The 26,243-nt window shown below is 36.0% G+C and overlaps 1 long non-coding RNA gene across 2 annotated transcripts in view, besides 1 other annotated feature; it reads left to right on the top strand.

Annotated features, from left to right (window-relative positions):
• NPSR1-AS1 (NPSR1 antisense RNA 1) overlaps positions 1-26,243 on the top strand; it is a 487,820-nt gene that overhangs the window by 272,848 nt on the left and 188,729 nt on the right. The window lies entirely within an intron of this gene.
• Positions 8,558-9,059: an enhancer, noted in NCBI's record as "H3K4me1 hESC enhancer chr7:34592037-34592538 (GRCh37/hg19 assembly coordinates)". NCBI's record gives its function as "activates a minimal SCP1, AML or CMV promoter by ChIP-STARR-seq in primed H9 embryonic stem cells {active_cell/tissue: H9 hESC(primed)}" and the evidence as "EXISTENCE:reporter gene assay evidence [ECO:0000049][PMID:30033119]".

The raw sequence follows: 26,243 nt of genomic DNA, 5'->3' as shown, positions 1-26,243 counted from the left end.
TATATGTAAGGAAGGTATATATACATAAGGTCTCTCTAGGTATATATATGTATATATATAAGGAAGGGTGCATGATTAGGTAAATAGGCTGAGAAGTCATCTTCATAACAATAGATCATACTTTACATAAAATAATATTTTTGATAAGGTATGAAATTTATCTTTTCATGAATTAAACAGAGGAAAATGAAATTGATTTGAAACAAGTATTTGCTGAATTTCAGGGCTTTTTTTTAATGATAGAAATATGAGATTCCAGATGATCCAAAATCAAGAGAAAAATGTATTTAAAATGACATTTAAGATTATTTACTGTTCAGTCTATATTTTAAAAGAATCTATAATCCCCAGCAGTCCTTTTTACCCCCAATGTCTTCATTCTGGATTTCTTTATTTGGGCATATAGGGACTGTGTTCCTTAAAGTCTTATAAGATTAATTGCCTTAATTTTTTCATACACAATTAATATTTATCATCTTCTTAGGTTGTTCTAAATCACATGTCTCAAGAATCTACCCTTTTTCCAGACACCCACTTATTGGGATTCTCGCTATCCTCCAGTCTGTATTGCTTATATGCTTCCGTAAAACTATTACTTTGGAAATTTGCTTTTATTGCTTTCCCATTTTGGATTTATATTTTTTAGATACTAAGTCTTTCTCTTTCTTAATGATTTTTAATTGGTAGAGCATATTTTCAATTAACTCCTCACCATGAAGATAGGAAAGAAAAACATTTCGAAGTCATTTCATATATAAAAGAGCCTTTATTTATTTAAAAGATAGTTTGGCTGAGGTTAGAACCTATTTTTCTAGGTTCTCAGTGGACTTTTTCACATAAAGGCACTATCTAAAGGCATTTCTTGTTGAGAAATTTTTTTGTATTATTATTATTTGGAAATTAGGCGGTTTTTCTTCATTTATTTCAATTGATGTCTAATTCATATATGGTGAAACATTCAGAGTTTTATAGTTTGGTGAGTTTTAACAATTGAGTATACCAATGCAATACTACCCAAAACAAGATATAGAATATGTATGTCCATCAGTCTCCAAATTCCTAGAGTCAACTCCTGCCCCACTCTGACTAGCTGTAGCCACTTTTCTGATTTCTAACACCATAGATGAATTTTGCCTGTTCTAGTACCTCATATAAGTGGAATTGTCCTGTATGTGCTCTTCTGCCTAGCTTCTTTTGCTCAGCATAAATTTGAGATTCATTCATGTATTGTATATTTTAGAAGTGCATTCCAGTTTGTTGCTGAGTAATATTTCATTGTATGACCATACAACAAGCTGTTTGCTGAATATGTATTGACAGATATTTGGATTGTTTCCAGTTCCAGAGTATTGTAAATTAAAACTGCTATGAACACTCTTGTAAAAGACTTTCACAAATGTTTTTATTTATTTGAAGTAAATACCTAGGAGTGAAATTGCTGTCATAAGGTAGGTATAGGATTAACTTTGTTAGAAGTTTCCAAATAATTTTGTAAAATTATTACTATTTTACATTCCCACCAGCAATATGTGAGATTTCTAGTACCTCCATCCTTATCTTTGCCAACGTAGGATTGTTGGTGTTTTAACTGTAGTCATTGTAGTAGGCATATAGTCCTATCCATTACAGTTTTAATTTGCATTTCCATGATGATATAAATTTTGAGCATCATTCTATGAGTTTACATACATCTTCATTTGTGAACTATCTGTTTAAATATTTTGCCCATTAAAAAACATTACATGTATGGTGTTTATGTACATGTTTTGATAAATTTTAAATTTTATAATAGATTTGCATATACTTTATGGTAGTAAATGACAAAATACAGTAGCATCTACACATATTTTATGCATTCATGACATACCTAACTTTTTGTTAATTTTTTGGATGTTTCTAGGCTTTATAGTTTGTCAGTTTTTCAAATTGTTACGAACCTCAAATATGTTTATTGAATAAAACACCCAAATATAGGTGGTCCTGCACAGTTCAAACCAATGTTATACAAGGATCAACTGTGCTAGATGTAGCTTTATCTACTTGACCCTATCTGCTACCCCTCCTGTATTCAGTTTCTTTCTTCCCAAAATTTGTTAGTATTTCTTTCCTCAGATGATGACTCTCAATTCCACGCCTTTATTCAATACCAATTCATAATTTTAAATTTCTTTGCTTTTATTTAAATGTGGTCTTTGAAGGAGTTGGCAAATTGCATTTTCCAGGAGGATCACAACAATATCTTCTAGCCTGCATGCTCTTCTACAGTGTTAATTTGTCATTCTCCCATTAAGAGCTGGCATCTAGAGCTTGCAATTGTCTCAAGAGGTGGACTGGATTTAGTGATTTACTTGTAACCAAAATAATTTGGCAGGGGAGAAACGGTGAAATCTTCAAGTCTAGTTCAGAAGAAGTAATGCCACTTTTGCTTTGACTTCTTGAAGTGCCCACTCTCTGAATGTCCCCTCTCAGGATTGTCTCTCTCAGAATCTATTCACCATGCAGTGAGAAGCTGCATAGAGAGGCTGTATGGAGGTTCCCACTCAGCCTAGTCTTCAAGTTACCTCAGCCTCAGTCTCGTAGTAGACACATTAAGGAGGAAGTCCTCCAATAATTACAACCTCCAGCCATTTTACTATTTAACAGCAGTTCTTCGCTGCTAGCTCCAAGTATATTGTGGATCAGAAAAAAATTACCCCTTGCTGCTCCTGTCTAAATTTCTGACTCATAGAATCCAGAATATACTTCAATAAAAGTATAATTGTTAAATGTCATTTCTTTTGGCATAGCAACCTCTATATTTTGTTTATTTTTAAACTTTTAGGTTCAGAAGTTACATGTGCAGTTTTGTTATATAGGTAAACCCATGTCATGGGGGTTTGATGTACAGATTATTTCCTCAACCAGATACTGAGCCTAGTAGCCGATAGTTACTTTTTCTGCTCCTCTCCCTCTTCCCAACCTCCACCTTCTGATAGGCCCCAGTGTCTGTTGTTCGCCTTTTTGTGTCCATGTGTTCTCATCATTTAGCTCCCACTTATGAGTGAGAGCATGTGGTATTTGTTTTTCTGTTCCTGCATTAGTTTGCTAAGGATAATGGCCTCCACTTCCATCCAGGTTTCTGCAAAAAATATGATCTCATTATTTTTTTTATGGCTGCATGGCATCCCATGCTATATATTTACCACATTTTCTTTATCCAGTCTTCCGCTGATGGGCAATTAGGTTGATTCCATGTCTTTGCTATTGTGAATAGTGCTGCTATGAGTATACACGTAGACGTGTCTTTATGACAGAATGACTTACATTCCTTTAAGTATATACCCAGTAATGGAATTGCTGAATCAAATGGTAGTTCTATTTTTAGCTCTTTGAGGAATTGCTACACTGATTTCCACAATACTTGAACTAATTTACAGTCCCCCACCAACAGCATATAAGCGTTCCCTTTTCTCTGCAACCTCACCAGCATCTGTTATTTTTTGACTTGTTAATAATAGCCATTCTGATTAGTGTGAGGTGATATCTCACTGTGGTTTTGAATTGCATTTCTCTAATGATCAGTGATGTTGAGCTTTCATTCATATGCTCGTTAGTTGCATGTATGTCTTCTTTTGAAAAGTGTCTGTTTCTGTCCTTTGCCCACTTTTTAATGAGGTTGTTTTTATCTTATAAATTTGTTTAAGCCCCTCACAGATGTTAGATATTAGACCTTTGTCAGATGCATAGTTTGCAAATATTTTCTCCCATTCTGTAGATTGTCTCTTTGTTGATAGATTCTTTTGCTGTTCAGAAGCTCTTCAGTTTAATTAGATCCTGTTTGTCAATTTTTGCTTTTGTGTGATTGCTTGGAATCTTTGTCATGAAAGCTTTGCCAGTTCCTATGTCCATAATGGTATTGCATAGGCTGTCTTCTAGGGTTTTTATTGCTTTTGGTTTTTCGTGTCAGTTCTCTTGAGTTGATTTTTATATATGGTGTAAGGAAGGGGTTCAGTTTTAATTTTCTGCATATGGCTAGCCAGTTATCCTAACCCGATTTATTGAATAGGGAGTCCTTTCCCCATTGCTTGTTTTTGTCAGCTTTGCCAAAGATCAGATGGTTGTATATGTACAGCCTTATTTCTGAGCTCTCTACTCTGTTCTGTTGGTCTATGTGTTTGTTGTTATACCACTGCCATTCTGTTTTGATTACTGTAGCCTTGTAATATAGTTTGAAGTTGGGTAGTGGGATGACTCTTTCTTTGTTCTTTTTGCTTAGAATTACCTTGGGTATTCAGGCTCTTTTTTGTTTTCATATGAATCTTAAAATAGGTTTTTCTAGTTCTATGAAGGGTGTCATTAGTAGTTTGATAGGAATAGCATTGAATCTGTAAATTGCTTTGGGCAGTATGAACATTTTAATGATATTGATTCTTCCTCTCCAAGAGCATGGGATGCTTTTCCACTTGGTTGTGTTATCTCTGAGTTCTTTGATCAGCGTCTGTAATTTTGATTGCAGAGATCTTTCACCTCCTGATTAGCTTTATTCCTAAGCATTTTATTCTTTTTGTGGCAATTGTGGATGGAATTGAGTTCCTGATTTGCTCTTGGCCTGGCTAGTGTTAATGTATAGGAATGCTAGTGATATTTGTACATTTATTTTGTATCACAAAACTTTGCTGAAGTTATTTATCAGCTTAAGGATTTTTTGGTCCAAGACTATGGGGTTTTCTAGATATAGAATCATGTCATCTGCAAACAAGAATATTTTGACTTCTTTTCTTCTTATTTGGTTCCCCTTTCTTTCTTTCTTTTGCCTGATTGCTCTGACCAGGATTTCCAATACTATGTTCAATAGGACTGGTAAGAGAGAGCGTCCTTTTCTTGTGCTGGTTTTCAAGGGGAATGCTTCCAGCTTTTGTCCATTCAATATGATGTTGACTGTGGGTTTGTCACAGATGGCTCTCATTATTTTGAGGTATGCTCTTTTAATACCTAGTTTGTAGAGACACTTAACATTAGGGGATGTTGAATTGTATTGAAAGCCTTTTCTGCATCTATCGAGATGATCGTGCAGTTTTTGCCTTTAGTTCTGTTTATATGATGAAACACATTTATTTATTTGCATATGTTGAACGAATCTTTCATCCCAGGGGTAAAGCCTACTTGATCGTGGTGGATTAACTTTTTGATATGTTTCTGGATTTTGTTTGTTAGTTTTTGTTGAAGATTTTTGCATCAATGTTCATCAAGGATATTGGCCTGAAGTTTCCTTTTTTTGTTGTGTCTGTGACAGGTTTTGTTCACAGTATGATGCTGTCCTCATAGAATGAGTTGGGTAGGAGTCCCTCCTACTCAATTTTTTTTGAATCGTTTTAGTAGGAATGATGCCATCACTTCTTTGTACGTCTGGTGCAATTCAGCTATGAATCCATCTGTTCCTGAGCTTTTTTCGTTGATAGGCTATTTATTACTAATTCAATTTCAGAGCTCATGATTGGTCTGTTCAGAAATTCAGTTTGTTCCTGGTTCAGTCTTGTGAGGCTGTATGTGTCTAGGAAGTTATCCATTTGTTCTAGATTTTCTAGTTGGTGTGCCTAGAGGTGTTTATAATAGTCTGGTAGTTATTTGTATTTCTGTAGGGTCAGTGGTAACAACTCCTTTGTCATTCCTAATTATGCACATTTGGATCTTCTCTCTTTTCTTCTTTACTAGTTTAGTTAGTGGTCTGTCTATCTTTCAAATGTTTTTTGAAAAACCAGCTCCTGGATTTGTTGATTTTCGGAATGGTTTTCCATGTCTCAATCTCCTTTAGTTCAACTCTGATTTTGATTATTCGTTTTCTTCTACTCACTTTGGGGTTGGTTTGCTCTTGCTTCTTTAGTTCTTCTAGTTGTTATGTGAGATCTTTCTAACTTTTTTATGTGGGCATTTAGTTCTAAAAATGTCCCTAATAATACAGCCATAGCTGTGTCCCAGAGATTCTGCTATGTTTTATCTTTGTTCTTATTAGTTTCAAAGAACTTCTTGATTTACACCTTAATTTCATTATTTACCCAAAAGTAATTCAGCAGCATGTTGTTTAATCTCCATGCAAATTTATGTGTGTGTGATTTTCTTCATTTTGAATTCTATTTTATTTCACTGTGGTCTGAGAGTCTGGATGGTATAATTTCAGTTTTTAAAAATTTGCTGGAGATTATTTTATGTCTGAGTGTATGGTTAATTTTATAGTATGTGCCATGTGCAGTTGAGAAGAATGTATATTCTGTTGTTTTGGGGTGGAGAGATCTGTAGATGGCTATCAGATCTATTTGGTCCAGTGTTGAGTTAGGTCCTGAATATCTTTGTTAATGTTCTGTCTCAATTATCTGTCTTATACTATTAGTGGGGTGTTGAAGTCTCTTACTATTATTGTGTGCGAGTCAAAGTTTGTTTGTAGGTCTCTAAGAATTCGCTTCATAAATTTGGGTGCTCCTGTGTTGGATGCATACATATTTGGGACACTTACATCTTAGTGTTGAATTGAACCTTTTACCATTATTTAATGCCCTTCTTTGTCTTTTTTGATCTTTGATGGTTTAAAGTATGTTTTATTTGAAATTAGGATTATAATTCCTACTTTTTTTCTGTTTTCCATTTGGCTGATAGGTTTTTCTCCATCCCTGTATTCCGAGCCTATGAGTGTCATTAAATGTAAGATAGGTCTCTTGAAGACAGCATACAATTGGGTCTTGCTTCCTTATCTAGTTTGCTACTCTGTGCCTTTTAATTGGAGCATTCAGCATGTTTACATTCAAGGTTAGTATTGATATCTGTCAATTTAATTCTCCCATCAGGTTGTTAGCTGTTTATTATGACAACTTGTTTATGTGGTTGCTTTATAGGGTTACTGGTCTGTGTACTTAAGTGTGTTTTTGTAGTGGCGGGTAATGGTCTTTCCTTTTCACGTTTACTGCATCTTTCAGGAGCTCTTGTAAAGTAGGTGATGTGATAGTGAATTTCCTCAGTCTTTGCTTGTCTGTAAAGGATCTTATTTCTCTTTCACTTATGAAGCTTAGTTTGACTGGGTATGAAGTTCTAGGTTGGAATTTCTTTTATTTAAGAATGTTGAATATAGGCCTCCAATCTCTTCTGGCTTATGGAGTTCTTCTGAGAGGTCTACTGTTAATCTGATGGGCTTCCCTTTGTAGGTGACCTTTCCTTTCTTTCTATCTGACTTTAACATTTTTTCTTTCATTTTAACCTTGGAGAATCTTATGATTATATGTATTGGAGATGACATTCTCATGAAGTATTCTGCAGTGGTTCTATGCATTTTCTGAATTTGAATATTGGCCTCTCTAGCTCGTTTGTTCTAGAGAACTAGGAAGTTCTCATGAATGATGTTCTGAAATATGTTTTCCAAGTTGCTTTCATTCTCCTCATCTCTTTGAGGGATGTCAGTGAGTCATAGATTCAGTCTCTCTCTATATAATCCCATATTTCTCAGAGGTTTTGTTGATTCCTTTTCATTCTTTCTTCTTTATTTTTGTCTGACTGTCTTATTTCAGATAGCCAGTCTTCAAGCTCTGAGATTCTTTCTTCAGCTTGGTCTATACTTCTGTTAATACTTATGGTTGCATTATGAAATTCTTATAGTGTTTTTCAGCTCTATCAGGTCAGTTAAATTCTTTTCTATACTGACTACATTCTCCTGAATCTTGATGATCTTTATTCCTCTCCATATTCTTAATTCTATTTCTGTTATTTCAGCCATATCAGTCTAGTTAAGAACTAGTTCCCCTTACTGGAGAAGTAGCATGGTCATTTGGATAAAAGACTGGTTTTTTGAGTTGACAGAAGTTCTTGCACTGGTTCTTTCTCATCTTTGTGGGCTGATGTTTCTTCAGTGCTTGAAGTTTCTACCCTTTGGGTTTTTTTTAATTCTATTTGATGACCCTAGGGATTTGATTGTGGTATAAGGTGGGTTCAGTCAACTGGCTTCATTACTAGATTTTAGGAGGCCAAAGCTCAGCTCAGGACTCCTGGACTGTGTGCTCTAACTCTCAGGGACTGGTATCTGGCCTGGCTTTGATCTCTGGCTCCTCAAGTTTAGGAACCTGTAGTGTTGGAGGGGCCAAGGTGCTCCCAGACCACTGGTCACAACACTCCAATGGGTGGTGCCAGCCAAAATGCTTCATAGGCTGGTGGTAGTGGGTTCTATCCTGGTTTCCATGTGCCAGCAGCAGGAGGAGCAGCAACGCACAGTGTACAAACTGGTCAGCTACAGCAGGGTGCTACAGGTGCTGGGGTGCCAGTCTCCTCGTGGGCTTTCACAGCAGCAGTGGTGGCAGTATGGATCGAGGGTTGAGGGTCCCCACCAGAGACTGTGTGAACATTCTCATTGGTGGTGGTGTTAGCATGGGGGCGGGGCGCTGGTGAGTGCAGGACTGTGTGCAACCTCTGTTTATGTTCATGTTGGTGGCAGTGGCTGCTCAGGGCTGGGGGTGAGTCTGCTATTTTCCATGCCTACTTTCATGCTGGTGACCCTGGTGCAGGGGTGAGATGCTGGAGGGATGGGGCTGGCAAGCTCTGTGCCTGCCAGTACTTTCATGACAGTGGTGATGCAGCAGGGGGAGGGAGGAGCCATGATGTACTCACATCAGCAGTAGTGGCATGGCAGGGTGCACACGCACATGCATTCTAGCGGGGAAGGGAAGGCTTGGCCTGCCTGTACACACACATGCTGGCAAAGCGATGTGGGTTGGCTGTGGATGAGTACCTGCAGGCAAGGCAGCATTGTGGAGGCTGCACTATGGGGAGGGCACAGGCGGGCTGGTACATGTCCATGAGCAGGGGGACGGTGCTCTGCTGGAACCTCTCTGCTGGAGCACTCTGCCAGTCAGGCACAGTCTGCCAGTGCAGGAGATATGATGCAACCCCCAGGAGGTAAATTGGGGCTGCAAGTAGGTGCAGCCAGACTTGGTCCCTGGGAGAGGCCAGCCTACTCAGAGGTGCTCAGGCCTTACAGGCCCTGTCTCATGGTCAAGACTGCCTTGCCTTGCAGAATTCAGGTCTGACAGTTCCCCTAAGCCTAAAGTCTCTTATGGGAGCAAGTCGAGCCTAGTGGGATGGGCATCCCTGATCATGCTCCACTACAGATGATTCGTCTCCAAACCCTTTGGGCTCTACCCTGGCTGCAGTTCTGTCCCTACTGCTTCCCTAAGCAGCTTTCCCTGCCAACTCAAGTGTCCATAGTGGTCACAGAGTCTCCTCTTGCCAGAATTCCAGAGTCCTACAGTGAAGGCAGGTTATTCCTTGCCTGTTCAACTCATGCTATCCACAGGAGTCATTGGGGGTCAAGAAGGAGTCCTGGTGCATGGTAGTCCCATGCAGGGTTCCAAGCTTCCTCACTCTTCAGCCCAGCATCTGTGTCTTCCCTACAACTACTTTCAATACCTTCCCTCTGAAGTTCTGCTAAGAGTGTGCCAGTCTTCTTGATGTCCCAGTTCCTCAGTAGGAGATGTTCCTCCTGGTTGCATCCAGTCAGCCGTCATAGCAGGAATCCCTCAATGCCATCATTTTTGAAGTGGTTTATAATGTAGCAATTAATCACTAGAACAAAAGGAGAAAAGACTATAGGTGTTCACTTTGCTATTTTGACCCAGGAGTCTCATAGATTCCTTCCAGTCATGACTGTTCCTCTAAGCAAGATATTTTGGAAGTGGGAAGGCAGCAGATTTCCATGAAATGGGGAACATATTGAGAATATTTATCTGGTTTTAATTCTGATTCTAGCTTGCAGTTGAACTTGAGCAAGTCAGTTCATCCTTGGGACTCAATGTTTTCATCTAAAAATTTAGACAACTGGGTCATGTGTTGTATATTTTCATTGCCTTTTATAGGTACACCTTCACCCTTCTGTATCTAGCTCTATCTGGGAGGTTGATCTGTAAAAATAGCATCCATAGGTCCCTTGACTTTCTGATTTCCAATTGAGTTTGGCCTATGGGCAGCTCTGGCGGTAGATTGGAGAAAAGGAGGAGATTGATGTTGAATATCTATTTCCTCAGCTCTTTCTCTGGGTTACTGTTGAGCTGGCCATGTCCCTCAACTGAGTTAACAACTCCTCTCCAGTTGGTACTCTTTATATGACTCTCTCCAGGCAGGTAACCACGTCCTCCCCTTACTCCTTCAGGCTTAAGGGTGGTGGCTGCCTCTCACTATTACTAAGTCTGGGGTACTGCATTTATCCTTCATCATTTCCCTACATGCTTCCCATCTCTTTGTAATTAGTGCCTTTTAAAAACTCTCCTGGAAGTATCCTATTTTAGACATGCCATCTGTTTCCCGTAATGAACCTAACTGGTACATTTCAGATCACCTCTAGTATTCCTACATTTAATATTGTATAATTCTATGAAGGAGACTTTTACCAGGCTTTATTTTTTTTTATCAATGCAGAAACCAGTGTTGAAAAGTTTCAATAATCCTGGCAAGACATATAGAACACATTTTTGTTAGCCAGTGCCTACACAGCTTGTAAGTACATCAATAGCCATCCATTTTCACCATTCACTTGATGATGATGATAATGATTATTATTATTTTTTTTTTGAGATAGAGTCTCGCTCTTTTGCCCAGGCTGGAGTGCAGTAGTGCCGTCTCGGCTCACTGCAAGCTCCGCCTCCCAGGTTCACGCCGTTCTCCTGCCTCAGCCTCCCTAGTAGCTGGGACTACAGGCACCTGCCACCATGCCTGGCTAATTTTTTTGTATTTTTAGTAGAGACGGGGGGTTTTGCCGTGTTAGCCAGGATGGTCTCAATCTCCTGACCCGGTTATCCACCCACCTCCGCCTCCCAATTATTTTTAAAAGAATCTAGAATTGGCTTTTTCTGTTGCTTCCACTAATGTTTAGTTTTTTGACAAAGAAAATTCACATAATGAACAAAGGTAGAATTGATTGTATTAGTGGCTGTCATTTTCAAAGAAAATGCCCTGTGAATGGTAGTGTGGCTAGAACGAATGACATGAACCGTCTGTCCTTTCTCTGTCATCCATACAAAAAATTGTTTTGTTTGCTTTGCAACTGCAATATATTTCCATTTATAGTTCTGCCCTCTTCTTAAAATCTCTGTTAAGAGAAATTGATCATTTATACAAATGCATAAATTCTCAGGACCATCAATTTTAAGATTTTCCTTGTGTTGGGATTTTTAGTGTTTACCTGAAGTAAATTAATAATATGTTAGGATATAGAAATTTTTTTTATGTAAATATATAGTTGGATTGTAACAAAATATGGACAAAATGTGGAATACATAGGATAGAATATAATTATCATGAAAGCAGTGTTCTCAATATTTGAGGCATCTGACAATTTACTTTCATGGTAAAGTACTGCTTATTCTTACTGAGATTAATTTCCTAAGGAAGCAGGTATTTAATCTAATAATTTACATAGCAAGGAATCTTCAATTGTCTTCAAAAATTAAACTGATAAAATAGCAATTAGAATGGAAAAATTTAAAAGTCATTTTCCAGGGTATGGAAGGTCAAATAGGAAATACTAAGTAAGAGTATTCTAAATTGTAAGGCTTTATTTAGTGTATTTATATCAAATATTTTATAAGTAGAAAATGAATTCTATTAATCTTGCCATGGGTCACAAAAAAAACCTTTAATAATTTTTTCAAAGTGGAAAAGGATACAAGTTTCATCTGACACAATGCAATTAAACCAGTATTTTAATCATCCAGAGAATTTAAAGATGCTTTTCTTAATGAATGATGACACAATATAAAAAAAGTCATCAAAAATATTTAATACCTTTTAATGATGATAAAATTTGAATTAGATATAAAAATAAATGAGCTTTTTTAACACAAGAAACTTAAAACTAATTACCAATTAAATTTAAGAAAAGAGAAAGAAAATAATATTATAAAGAATATTAATAAATTAAAAACAAAAACTAAGAGTAGATATGGTAAATGCATATAGCAGTTTATTATGGAAAATTGTGCAACAAAAATACTTAGAAATCTTAGTGATGGTTAAGCTAAGAGAAGATAAAACAGTAATAGACCATCTTGGGGATTTTAAAAAGGAATAAATACATCATCAAGCACAGAGTTTTAAAAGTTGATAGGAGGCTATTACAAATAAATCCCTATAGAAAATTTGAAAATCTAAATGAAAGTATTAATATTTTTTGAAAACACAAATTACTAAAATTTATTTTATAAGTAAAAATCCAGAGGAGAATAAAAATTACGAGAGGAATTTCAAATATTGTTAAGCACCCATAAAACTTTCTAGATATACACAATGTATAGGAGTACACACACACACCACTCATACACAAATCTGGCAATTATCCATGGAGATACTCTGGTAGTATGATGGAAAGTTAACTTTCAGTTAGTTTTGCCCTAGAAGAAAACCTAGGCAATACCCTTCAGGACATAGGCATGGCTAAAGACTTTATGACTAAAACACCAAAAGCAACGGCAACAAAAGCCAAAATAGACAAATGGGATCTAATTAAACTAAAGAATTGCACAGCAAAAGAAAATATCATCAGAGTGAACAGGCAACATACAGAATGGGAGAAAATTTTTGCAATCTACCCATCTGACAAAGGGCTAATATCCAGAATCTACAAAGAGTGGGCAAAGGATATGAACAGACACTTCTCAAAAGATGACATTTATGCAGCCAACAGACATATGAAAAAATGTTCGTCATCACTGGTCATCAGAGAAATGCAAATAAAAACCACAATGAGATACCATCTCACACCAGTTAGAATGGCAATCATTAAAAAGTCAGGAAACAACAGATGCTGGAGAGGATGTGGAGAAATAGGAAAGCTTTTACACTGTTGGTGGGAGTGTAAATTAGTTCAACCATTGTGGAAGATAGTGTGGCAATTCCTCATGGATCTAGAACCAGAAATACCATTTGACCCAGCAATCCCATTACTGGGTATATACCCAAAGGATAATAAATCATGCTACTATAAAGACACATGCACACATATGTTTATTGTGACACTATTCACAATAGCAAAGACTTGGAACCACTCCAGATGTCCATCAATGATAGACTGGATTAAGAAAATGTGGCACATATACACCATGGAATACTATGCAGCCATAAAAAATGATGAGATCATGTCCTTTGCAGGGACATGGATGAAGTTGGAAACCATCATTCTAAGCAAACTATCACGAGGACAGAAAACCAAACATCGCATGTTCTCACTCATAGGTGGGAGTTGAACAATGAGATCACATGGACACAGGGTGGGGAATATCACACACCAGGGCCTGTCATGGGGTGGGGGGCAGGGGAAGGGATAGCATTAGGAGAAATACCTAATGTAAATGACGAGTTGATGGGTGCAGCAAATCAACATGGCACATGTATAACCATGTAACAAACCTGTACGCTGTGCACATGTACCCTAGAACTTAAACTATAATAAAATAAAAAAAGTTAACTTTCAGTTTTGTATTGTGTGAATATTTCCAATGTATAAGTATTTCTATAAATAAATCTGTACAATAGGATTTTCTCAAATTGGGGCTCTTGGATCCCAGGGAATCCTTAGATGTATCTTTGTGGATTTAATTAGTTGTTTATGATATTTCTTTTAATGCATTTATTAATTTTTTTGAATAGGGGCAATTTTCACATCATCTAAATTGTTAAAGTTCATATAACAGTGAATAATGGAAAAGTGTTTTATCTGCACATTTTCCCCCATTTTAACATGTATTTCCAATGGCTACAATTTTTATTTTAGAGTTTTATTATCTACATACAAATTACTACCAATAGAGATTCTTATTCTTTCCTTCCTTTTTATATACATATTCCATGCATTGTATTCCACCTGGCTTTCTTCATGAAATTAATCTGGAAACATTTTCCATATTAGTACACAGAGAATGCCATCTTTCTTTTACAAACCTGAATAGTGTGGTAATGCATGATGATATAATAATTTTAAGAGTAGTGCCTGGTGTAGAAACATCTGGATTGTTTCCATTCATTTGTTATTTCAAACAATGCTGCAAAATGTAATCTTACATGTATACATGTCAATAATTTTGAGTGTCTGAGTTTCACTCCCACCAGTGGAATTTGGAGACCAAAGGATATTTGCAATTTAAAATTTAATGACTATAGTAAAATTGTTCTCCATGGAGATTTTTAGCAATTAACACTTTTACCAACAATATATGAAAGTGTCTGTTTCATCACAGTGGAAAAAGGCGCTCAGATTGCAGCAAGCTTGTTGGGCAGAGGAAACAAATATTGGAGTCAAGGACTACTGTGTTGACCAATGTTTGCAGGGGAGTATACTGAAGAGGAGGTGACAAAGAGAGGACCTCCAGAAAATCACATAGTGATCCTTTTGTGTCTTTGGTCAAATACTCAGCTGTGTGCAATAAGAGACTCCCCAAGACATGACAGAATGATGGTATTCAAGGGCTGTGAGATGCATAGATATTCCAAAGTCCACATAATGGTGGAAAATAATGGAGTTTTGACCAGCCAAAGTAGTGACATTGCACCGAACACCTGGGCATTAAGTTAAGAAACAAAAACATTACTCCTAGAAGTAATGCTAATTAAGCCCTGTCATAAAATCTATTCTAGACACAGCATAATGCAGTCCCAAAATAATTCTTGATAAGATGAAAGACCACAAAATCCAGACTTTTAACAATGTTGTATCAGCAACGTTTAGAATTAAGCTAAATAATATATTAGACATATGAAGACACAGGAACAGGCATCCCATAACCAGAAGAAAAATGTTAATAGAAAAAGAAGAAAGCTGACGTAGATGTTGCATCAACATAATGGCCACTACAGAAAAAAAACCAGTGGCTTAAAGACTGATCCAAATGCACTTTCAACAATAAACAGATCATCCAGACATAAAATCAATAAGGAAACAGTGGATTTGAACTATACTTAAGACCAAATGGACCTCACAGACATATAAAAGATATTCCATCCAATAACAGCAGAATACATATTCTTCTCAAGCGCACATCACCATTCTCTAGGATAGATTATGTTAGGCCACAAAAGAAGTCTTAACCAATTTAAGACCATTGAAATCATGTCAAGTAGAGTTTTTGACCACAAGGGTGTAAATCTAGAAATCAGTAACAGGAAGGAATTCAGAAAAGTTACAAATAAAAATTAGACAACCAATGGGCCAAATAATAAAAAGAGAAATTTAAAAATATCTTGAGACAAATGAAAATGGAAATACAATAGACCAAAACTTATAGAATGGGGCAAAAACAGTTCTAAAAGGGAAGTTGATAGCAATAAATGCCTACCTCAATAAAGAAGAAAGATCTCAAATAAACAACCTAATATTACACCTAGAGAAACTAGCAAAAAAGAAACTAAGCCCCAAAATAGTAGAAGAAGGAAATCATAAAGATCAGAGCAGAAATACATAAAATAGAGATGAAAAAAACAATCAAAAGTTAAGAGTTGGCTTTTTGAAAAGATAAAATGGACAAATATTTAGCTAGACTTAATGAAAAAGGAGACATTACAACTGATACCACAGAAATGCAAAGAAGCATAAAAAAACTGAACAATTACACCCCCCAAAATTGGATAACCTAGAAGAAATGGACAAATCTCTAGAAATATACAATCTACCATTACTGAATCATGATGAAATATAATCTGAACTGACTAATAATAAGTACAAAGATTTAATGAGTAATAAAATGTTGTTCATCAGTGAAAAGCCCAGGAACTGATAGTTTCACTAATTCTATCGATTTTTATTCTTATTCTTTCTTTTTTGTTCACATGAGGTCTTGCTCTGTCACCCAGGCTAAAGCACAGTGGCATGATCTTAGCTTACTGCAACCTCTGCCTCCCAGGCTCAAGTGATTTCCCTGCCTCAGCCTACCAAGAAGCTGGAACTACAGGTGCACACCATCAGACCTTGTTATTATTAAATAATAATAATAAATAAATAATAAATTTTTTGAGATGGGGTCTCACTATATTGCCCAGGCTGGTCTCAAACTCCTAGCCTCAAGTGATCCTCTTGTCTCAGCATCCCAAAGTGCTGGGATTATAGGCATGAGACACCATGCCTGGCCTACCAAATGTTTAAAGAATAATTAATGCCAATACTTTTAAACTCTCCCAAAAAATTGAAGAGGAAGGAACACTTCCAAACTCAGTTTAGGAGACAAGAATTACCCTGATACTGACACGTGAAAATTTCCCCCTAACCCCCTCGCAGGGTGTGAGATGGGGGTGTGGCTCGCTTCTTCAGTGCCCCACTGCTCAAACACCTAGGAGAACATACAGACGGGCAGGCTGTGGGGCTCCAGTCCCACAGCAGTGCCTAGGGGTGAATGTTATGGCTCCTGAAGCCCCAATGGGCGTGTATTACAGGATGCCCTTTTAGTTTGCCATCTATAGGTGGCTTGTGTTAGTCAGCTCAATTAGACTCCCTACCTTCTTGCAAGGACAGAGGGCTTTCTGTATCCCGCGGTTTCTTGCCTTGGTGTATTGGAAGAATCAGATCACACGTGGGCTTAGAGAATGAATGCCAGGTTTTATGGAGTGGAAGTAGCTCTCAGCAGATGGGGGAACCAGAAGGGAGATGTTTTTCCCTTGGAGTTTGGCCGGGTGCCTGACTCTTCCTCTACCGCTCCAGCCAAACTCCACGTCATTCCACCAGTTGATGGCCTGCCGGCCTGCCAGTGCCTGTTGGTATGCTCTTCTGCCGGCGTGCTCTCAATGACCAGCCACTTGTATCTTCTTCCACCGATGCGCTCTTCATGACGTCCAGCCACTTGTGTATCTGCCTGCTAGGGTCTCCGGGGGTTTACAGGCACAGGATGGGGGCATGGTGGGCCAGGGAGGTCTTGGAAAATGCAACATTTGGGCAAGAAGGCAGGAATGCCTATCCTCACCTAGGTCCATGGGGGTGAGCCCTAGCCAGGGACCACACCCTCCCTCTACCCAGCACTTCTCTTCCCTCTTTCCACATCATTTAAAGGGGCCATGCTCTTACCTTCCCAGCACTCCCATATCAATACTAAAAACAGACAAGGAAGCTACAAGAACAGAAAATTACTGGCCAAAATTCCTAATTAACATATATATAAAAGTTATCTACAAAATATTAGGAAAGTAAATTCAACAGTGTATGGAAAGGATAATACACTATTACCAAGTGGGATTTATTCTAAGATTCAAAATACTTTAATATACAAAAATTTATCAAGGTGCTACACCACATTACAGAACAGACAAGAACCATATGATTATTTCAATAAATACAAAAACAGCATTTGACAAAATTCAACACCACTTCATTATACAAACTCTCAACAAATTTACTTTAGAATAAATGTTTCTCAACACAATAAAGGCCATATATGACAAACCCAAAACTAATATCATACTCAATGGTGAAAAGTTGAAAGCTTTTCCTCTAAGATTAGGAACAAGAGAGAACGGCTACTATCACCACTTCTATTCAATATATTACTGGAAGTCCTAGCCAGAAAAATTAGGGAAGAGAAATAAATAGAAGGCATCCAAATTGGAAAGGAAGAAATTAAATTGCCTCCATTTTTAGATGACATAATTTCATATATTAAAAACCCTGAAGATTCCCTCAAAACTTTTAGAGCTAGAAAGTGGATTTAATAAAGTCGCAAGATACAAAATCAACATACAAAAATTAGTGACATTTCTATACACTAACAACAAACTATCCAAAATGGAAATCAAGAACACAATCTCATTTATAATAGTATCAAAATAGAAAAATAAATTTAACCTAGGAGATGACAGATCTGTCTGTACACTGCAAACTATAAAACATTAATGAAAGAAATTGAGGTAACACAAATAAATGGAAAGTTATTTTATGTTCATGACTTGGAAGAATTAACATTGTAAAGATGTCCGTAATATCCAAATTGATCCACCGATTCAATGCAATCCCTCTCAAAATTCCAACATTTTTCAAGTAAATAAAAAGCAATCCTAAAATTTCTATGAAACTGGAAAAGATTCCAAATAGCCAAAGCAATCTTGAGCAAAAAGAACAAAGCTAAAGGCAACACACTGCTTGGTTTCAACGTCTACTTCAAAGCTACAGAAATCAAAACAGTGTGGTGCTGGCCTAAATACAGACATATAGACCAATGGAACTGAATAGAGGGCCCAGAAATAAGTCTACACATTTACAGTCAATTGATCTTCAGCAAGTTGTTAAGATCACACAATGAAGAAAGAGCAATCTTTTTAACAAATGGTGTTGTGAAAACTAAATATTCACATGCAGAACAATGAAATTGGGCCCCTATTTCACCTTATTTCACTCTTATAATCCAATTTCACAATATCCAGTGTATATGAAAAGGTGTTCAACATCCTAATAATCAGAGAAATGTAAATTAAAATCTCAATGAGATTATCACCTCACACCTGTGAGAATGACTTTTATTAAGAAAGACAAAAAGCAGCAAGCATTGTCAAGAATCTGGTGAAAAGGGAACCCTTGTACACTGTTGGTGAAAATGTAAATTTGTACATTCATTATGGAAAACAGTATGGAGTTTCTAAAAAAGTTAAAAATAGAACTATCATGTGATCTAGCAATCCCACTTCTGGGTATATATCCAAAGGATATGAAAGTAGTATGTTGAATAAATATCTATACTCTCGTGTTTATTGCAGCATTATTTGCAATGGCCAAGATATGGAATCAACCTGGATGTCCATCACCAGATAAACAAATTTTTAAAAATGTAGCATATACACAGTGAAATAGTAGTCACATTACACAATGAAATAGTAGCCAGAAAAGAGAGAAATACTGTTATCTGTGACAAAGCAGATGAAAATGGTGGGCATTATGCTTAATGAAATAAGCCAGATACAGAAAGACAAATACTGCTTGATCTCACTTATATGTAGAATCTTAAAATAAAACAATTGAATTAATAGAAGTAGAGGGCAGAATGATGGTTACCAGAGGCTTCAAAAAGGGAGGTGTTTAGGGGAATAAAGAGATGTTGTTTAAGGGTACAGTTTCAGTTACACAGGAGAAATGAGTTCTGGAGATCTGTTGTACAGCATAGTGACTATAGTTAATAGTAATAGATTGTATACTTAGAAATTGCTAGGAGAGTAGATTTTAAATGTTTTCATCACAATAAAAGAGGGACTCCTCCCTAACTCATTTTATGAGGCCAGCATCATGCTGATACCAAAACCTGGCAGAGACACACACACACACACACACAAAAAAAAAAAAAAAAAAAGAAAAAAAGAAAACCTCAGGCCAATATGCCTGATGAACATTGATGTGAAAATCCTCAGTAAAATACTGGCAAACTGAATCCAGCAGCTCATCAAAAAGCTTATCCACTACAATCAAGTCAGCTTCATCCCTGAGATGCAAGGCTGGTTCAACATAAGCAAATCGATAAATGTAATCCGTCACATAAACAGAAGCCACATGATTATCTCAATAGATGTGGAAAAGGCCTGCAATAGCATTCAACATCTCTTCATGTTAAAAACTCTCAATAAATTAGGTATTGATGGAACATATTTCAAAATAATAAGAGCTATTTATTACAAACCCACAACCAATATCATATGAATTGGCAAAAGCTGGAAGCATTCCCTTTGAAAATCTGCACAAGACAAGAGTGCCCTCTCTCATCACTCCTATCTAACATATTATTGGAAGTTCTGGTCAGAGCAATCAGGCAAGAGAAAGAAATAAAGCATATTCAAATAGGAAGAGAGGAAGTCAAATTGTCTCTATTTGCAGATGACCTGATCCTATATTTAGTAAACCCCATCATCTCAGCCCAAAAACTCCTTAAGCTGATAAACAAGTTCAGCAAAGTCTCAGGATACAAAAATCAATGTGCAAAAATCATAAGCATTCCTATACACCAATAATAGACAAGCGGAGAGCCAAACCATGAATGAACTCTGATTCACAATTGCTACAAAGAGAATAAAATATGTAGGAATACAGCTAACAAGGGAAGTGAAGGACCTCAAGGAGAACTACAAACCACTGCTCAAGGAAATAATAGAGGACAACAAACAAATGTAAAAACATTCTATCCTCATGGATAGGAAGGCTCAATATTGTGAAAATGGCCATACTGCCCAAAGTAATTTATAGATTCAATGCTATTCCCATCTAACTACCATTACATTCTACACAGAATAAGAAAAAAAATACTTTAAAATTCATATGGAACCAAAAAAGAGCACACATAGCCAAAACAATCCTAAGCATAAAGAACAAAGCTGGAGGCAACATGCTACCTGACTTCAAACTATACTACAAGTTTATAGTAACCAAAACAGCATGGTGCTGGTACAGACATATAGACCAATGGAACAGAAGAGATACCTCAGAAGTAGGTCTATATATTGGTCTATAGAGACCAATGGAACAGAATGGAGACCACACACCTACAATCATCTGATCTTTGACAAATCTTTGAAAAACAAGCAATGGGGAAAGGATTCCCTATTTAATAAATGGTGCTGGGAAAACTGGCTAGGCATATGCAGAAAATTGAAACTGGACCCCTTTCTTATACCTTATACAAAAATTAGCTCAAGATGGATTAAAGACTTATATGTAAATCCTAAACCATAAAAACCCTAGAAGAGAACCTCAGCAATACCATTCGGGACATAGGCATGGACAAAGATTTTATGATAAAATTGCTAAAAGCAATAGCAACAAAAGCTAAAATTGACAAAGTGGATCTAATCAAACTAAAGGGTTTCTGCACAGCAAAAGAAACTATCATCAGAGAGGACAGGCAACCTACAGAATGGTAGAAAAATTCTGCCACCCACCCATTTGACAGTTGTCTAATATCCAGAATTTACAAGGAACTTAACTTTACAAGGAAAAAACAAACAACCGCATCAAAAAATGGGTGAAGAATATGAACAGACACTTCTCAAAAGAAGACATTTATGCAGCCAACAAACATATGAAAAAAGCTCAGCATCACTGATCATTAGAGAAATGCAAATCAAAACCATAATGAGATACCACTTCATGCCAGTCAGAATAGCGATTATTAAAAAGTCAAGAAACAACAGATGCTGGCGAGGCTCTGAAGAAATAACAATGCTTTTTTTGGGGGAATGTAAATTCTTTAAATCATTGTGGAAGATAGTGTGGTGATTCCTCAAAGATCTAGAACCAGAAATAACATTTGACTCAGCAATCCCATTACTGGGTGTATACCCAAAGGAATATAAAGCATTCTGTTATAAAGATACATGTACACGTATGTTTATTGCAGCACTATTCACAGTAGCAAAGACATGGGACCAATCAAAATGTCCATCAATGATAGACTGGATAAAGAAAATGTGGTACATATACACCATAGAATACTATCCAGCCACAAAAGGAATGAGACCATGTCCCTTGCAGGGACATGAATGAAGCTGGAAGCCATCATTCTCAGCAAACTAACACAGGAACAGAAAACCAAACATGGCATGTTCTCACTCATAAGTGAGATTTGAACACATGGGAATACATGGACACAGGGAGGGGAACAACACACACCAGGGCTTATTGGAGGGCAGGGTGGGTGGAGGGAAGGGAGAGCATCAGGACAAATAGCTAATGGCTGTGGGGCTTAAAACCTAGGTGACGGGTTGATAGGTGCAGGAAACCATGTATACCCTTGTAACAACACTGCATATTCTGCACAGGTAACCCAGAACTTAAAGTAAAAAAAGAAAAAATGGGATTTACCAGAAAAAAAGAAAAAGAAAAGCCTCATCATCCAAATCAAAGTACAGGAAAAAAAGCCATAAGAAAATAAAAACTAAAACTAAAAAACAGAGCCTAAATTATTGGAGGAAAGCATCAGGTGAACATATGTGAAATGGGAGTTTCTGAAGAAAAGGAGAAAGAGAAAGAGGCAGAAAAATATTTGAAGAGATAAGTGCTTCAATTTTTCAAAATTTGATGACAAATGCCATCCTATATGCCCAATATTCTAATATATGTCAAATAGGATACACACACACAATCACAAATAGTTATTTATCTCTCTGTTTGTCTTTTTCTTTCTCTCACTTCCCATCTAGCCACATGATAGTCAACTTGTTTAAAATAAAAGATAAATAACAGATTCTTAAAATAAAGAGAAAATAATATCTTAAAAATAACTTGAGGAAAAAATATGCTACATACAGGGGCACAATGCTAAGAATTACTGCTGACTTTTTAATAAAAACAATGTAAGCCAGTAAATAATGGAATGACATCTTCAAAGTACTGAAAGAGAAGAAAAAAAATTTCTACGTAGACTTCTGTATCCAGGAAAATATCTTTCAAAAAGTACAGGAGAAGAAAAAAATTGTGTACTTACAATTCTGAATCCAGAAAAATATATTTCAAAAAGTAGAGGAGAAATAAATACATTTTAGATAAACAAAATCTAAAATCATTCATCACCATTAGACCTGTGCTAAAATAAATTCTAAAGGAAATCCTGAGGCTGAAAGGAAATGCCACGACATGAAAACTGAGATCTACATTAAAAAAAAATCAAAAGCATTGGAAATGAAAAATAAGTAGAGAGATTTGGCTTTTTCTTGTTAAAATATTTTCTAAAAGACAATTGTTTATTTAAAGCAAAATTTATAGCAATGCTGTTGGAGGTTTATTGCATACATAGGAGTAAGATACATGACAACTATAAACCAAAGGAAGAAAGGAAGTAAATGAAAATATAATGTTGTCCAATTTCCTAAATTATACATGAAGTAGTATTGTTAAAAGGTTGAAGATACTTATTATAACTTCTAGAACAACCACTAAAAAACAAAACATAAACTAAAAATGAATAGCCAAAAAGCCATGGAGGAGAAAAAATGCAATATAAGAAATATTCAGTTAATTGTTTAACAGCAGAGAATATAAAATAATAGAAAAAAAACAGGATTTAAATAAAAAACAAGTAGTACAATGATAGACTTAAACCCAATCTTATAAAAAAATTGCATAACATGTAGAGTAAATAATTAATTAAAGGGCAAAGATTTCCAGATTGAATACAAAAGAGTGATGGGTTAAAACTAAAAGAATTAAATAAAATGCTAAAAAGTCATGCAAACCCTAAAAGGTAAACTGGAGATGTTATGTTAATATTATAAAGATGTACTTCAAGAAGTGTGTTTCTTGAGATAAAGAGGGAATTTCATAATGATTAAAAAGTTCATCATTCAAGAAGAAATAAAAGCTATGAATGTTTGTGTACCTAATTACAGAGCTTCATGATACATAATATAAAACTAAAGGAGAACGAGACTAATATACAATTATATTTGGAGATTTTTAACCATTTTCTCAAAGATTTAGGATAAATGTGACAATGGAAGGGTGTCACTCACCAGTAGTGTGCAAATTAGTGTTCCCACTGTGGTGTCAAAATCATTTCCCTCCTAACCCAGGGGAAGCACACATCCTCATATATATCTGTGGCTGACTGTGTTATCAGTGTTTAATCATAATGGCAGGACAATCACTTGTCATATGTTCATCAAGTGCTGAACTTGACATGCATCCCTTTAGATCTAGGCAAACACATCCTCTATGTGCCCTGTGCTCTTTTCTATGGAACAATCAAATTGATAAACTTGGAGGCCTAACAACTCTATCCTTACCTCACTTCTTTAGAGAGGGGAAATATACCCAGAAGGGCAGCTAGGAGAATTCGGAGACATACTTTTAAGGACACAATGTCTACAAATCTTCCATAAAGGAAGTAATGAAAAGGCAGACTCATACATAAAAAGGAAATATCTTCTTTTAAACCACACTACTCATGATAGTCAAAGAAATAGTCATAAAATGTGTATACTGAGCTAGAAATAAACCTTAATAGAAATATTTTGGAGAAATGTTATATTTAGCCTGCTTCCTGTAAAACACCATTATTGTGAGCTTAGGGAGTAGGCAGAGGGACTTCTGCTCAGCTGGGAATGCAAGCATCCCAAAGGCAACTTTGTGGCTGAAAGCACAGCTGGCATGTGTTCACCACTAAAAGCCATTCTGGGAGAATTCCCAATGTTTTATTCAAATCTCTGTCAAAGAGAAAAACAGTCAGACCTGAAACAATGGACAGTTCTACCTGGAAAGCTGAGCTCTCGAACAAAAACACTACGAGTGTGTTCCTGACATTTATTTTATTAAGTGAGGGAGTGAAGTTATGGGCAGAGAGCAAAAATAAAAATAATTATTAAGTAAATATACATTTGACTGGTAAGAAAATCAGTACTTCTGCACGTCTCAAATTACTACTTTTGTCTCATTTTATAATTATAATGTTACACATTGTAAGAAATCAAATAGAGAACTATAAAATGGAAAGTTTAGAAAACTCTGCATTTATATACATACCATCCTTTCTATTTTTCTTTTAATTTCCCTTTGTTGTTAGGCGGCCTCAATATAAATTTTGGTTTCGCTATTTAACAGATGAATGATGTTGGGAAAGCTAATCAAGTCCTCTAAGCTTGATTTCTCTCATCTGTAATAATGTTGATGGGACCTTGCTGATAAGGTTGTTTGGCAGATTAATAAAGACAATACATGGAAAGTGCTCAATAACTGTTGGTTATTATGGTACATTCAATATTACACATATTATTATATGTGTAGGTTTATTTATATATTCCATTTTATAATTTCTTCTATCACTCACAATATCCAAATAAACTTCTTAGAGGTCACCACAAGTTCGCTGGAGAAACGGGGAAACAAAGATGCCAGTGGAAATCTTCCATTTAGTTTTAGCCTTTATTTGTTAACATTCTTCTGTCACAAGGTCTTCTCACCCTTGCCAATTATAGAAAGCCATTAATTTGAAACCCATTAAAAGCCACCTTATGATCAAGAAAGGATCAAGCTGAATTAAATTTTCCAGCCCAGGAATATTGATATAACTGAAACACAAGATGGAAAATCTGGACTTGAAGATCCCAACTAGCCTGCGTGTTCTCAAAGCCATGTGCTGAGAAAAGACCCCACCCTGTTCATTTTAAGCCTTGTACTTGTACTTTCCTTTGAAAACATTGAACTTTAGATTTATTTGACTGAAAAACAGATCTTAAATTTTCCCCTCAAAGATTTTTAATTAGGATATTTCCAACTAATTCCTTTTATTTTAGGAATGGAAGTAAAAGCAAATGTATACTAATTCTGTCATTGCTTGTTTAGAAGAGAATGAGTAGATGCTTATCTACATCAATAGAAAATTAAGTAACGATATAAAATTATAAACACAGCTACTAGAAAAACACAAACGTCCCAAATAATCAGAAAGAAACACACATACGACAAAGAAGACCACTTATTGAAAGATAAAACAATGAAATACATACTAAAAGCAAAAAAAAAATGAAATAAGGCATGTGTGAAAATAAGACTGAATCACACAGCAACACCTGAAGTTGTGCCGGACATAAGAGAAACACCTAATGAAATGACTATGAAAGGAAAAAAAAATGAATGAATAGGCAAAGACATGAGGGGCAAATGCAGAGGAAAAGGAATCTCTGATCTTAACACATCATAGGCCTGAATTCAAACCAGAATAATTAAATGAGAAAAAGAAGGGCACTTTATAATGGTAAAAGTTAAAATCAGTAATAAAATCTATCATTTGCAAATATCCATGTACCAAAGAACAACACATCAACCATCATAAAGCAAAATATATAAGAAATACACAGAGCAATGGGCAGAAACACATCATTAGATAGAAATTTCAATTCACTGCTCTCAGACTACAATAGTTCAAGTGGGTTAAAACTATATAAAGATAAACAAGCCTATATTAGTTAAGTAATAAATTACTTCTACCTTATATTGTAAATTTAATAAATACGTCTATTTAATGTTGAATCCTGAGCTAGGAAACAGAGTCCGTGAAACAGTCGCAAAAGTTGACCGCACATTAGACCACAGATAAAACATCAATTTCATCCCTAAGCAGAAATGTACAGATACTAACTAGAAATTAAGTACAAAAATAGAGAAAGTAAAAACAAGAATCTCTAACACCTGGTATTTTAAAATTTCTCTTAAAGGACTTTTTGTTAAAATAAAACATTTTAAAAATGTTAATTAAACCACCAGCTTAAAAATTATGGATACAGTTAAAACTATTGTCAGAGAA

Source organism: Homo sapiens, chromosome 7 (genome assembly GCF_000001405.40).
Source record: "Homo sapiens chromosome 7, GRCh38.p14 Primary Assembly".
NCBI lineage: Eukaryota > Metazoa > Chordata > Mammalia > Primates > Hominidae > Homo > Homo sapiens.
Note: the sequence above shows the minus strand (reverse complement) of the source record. Positions and strands in the feature narration are given on the sequence as shown.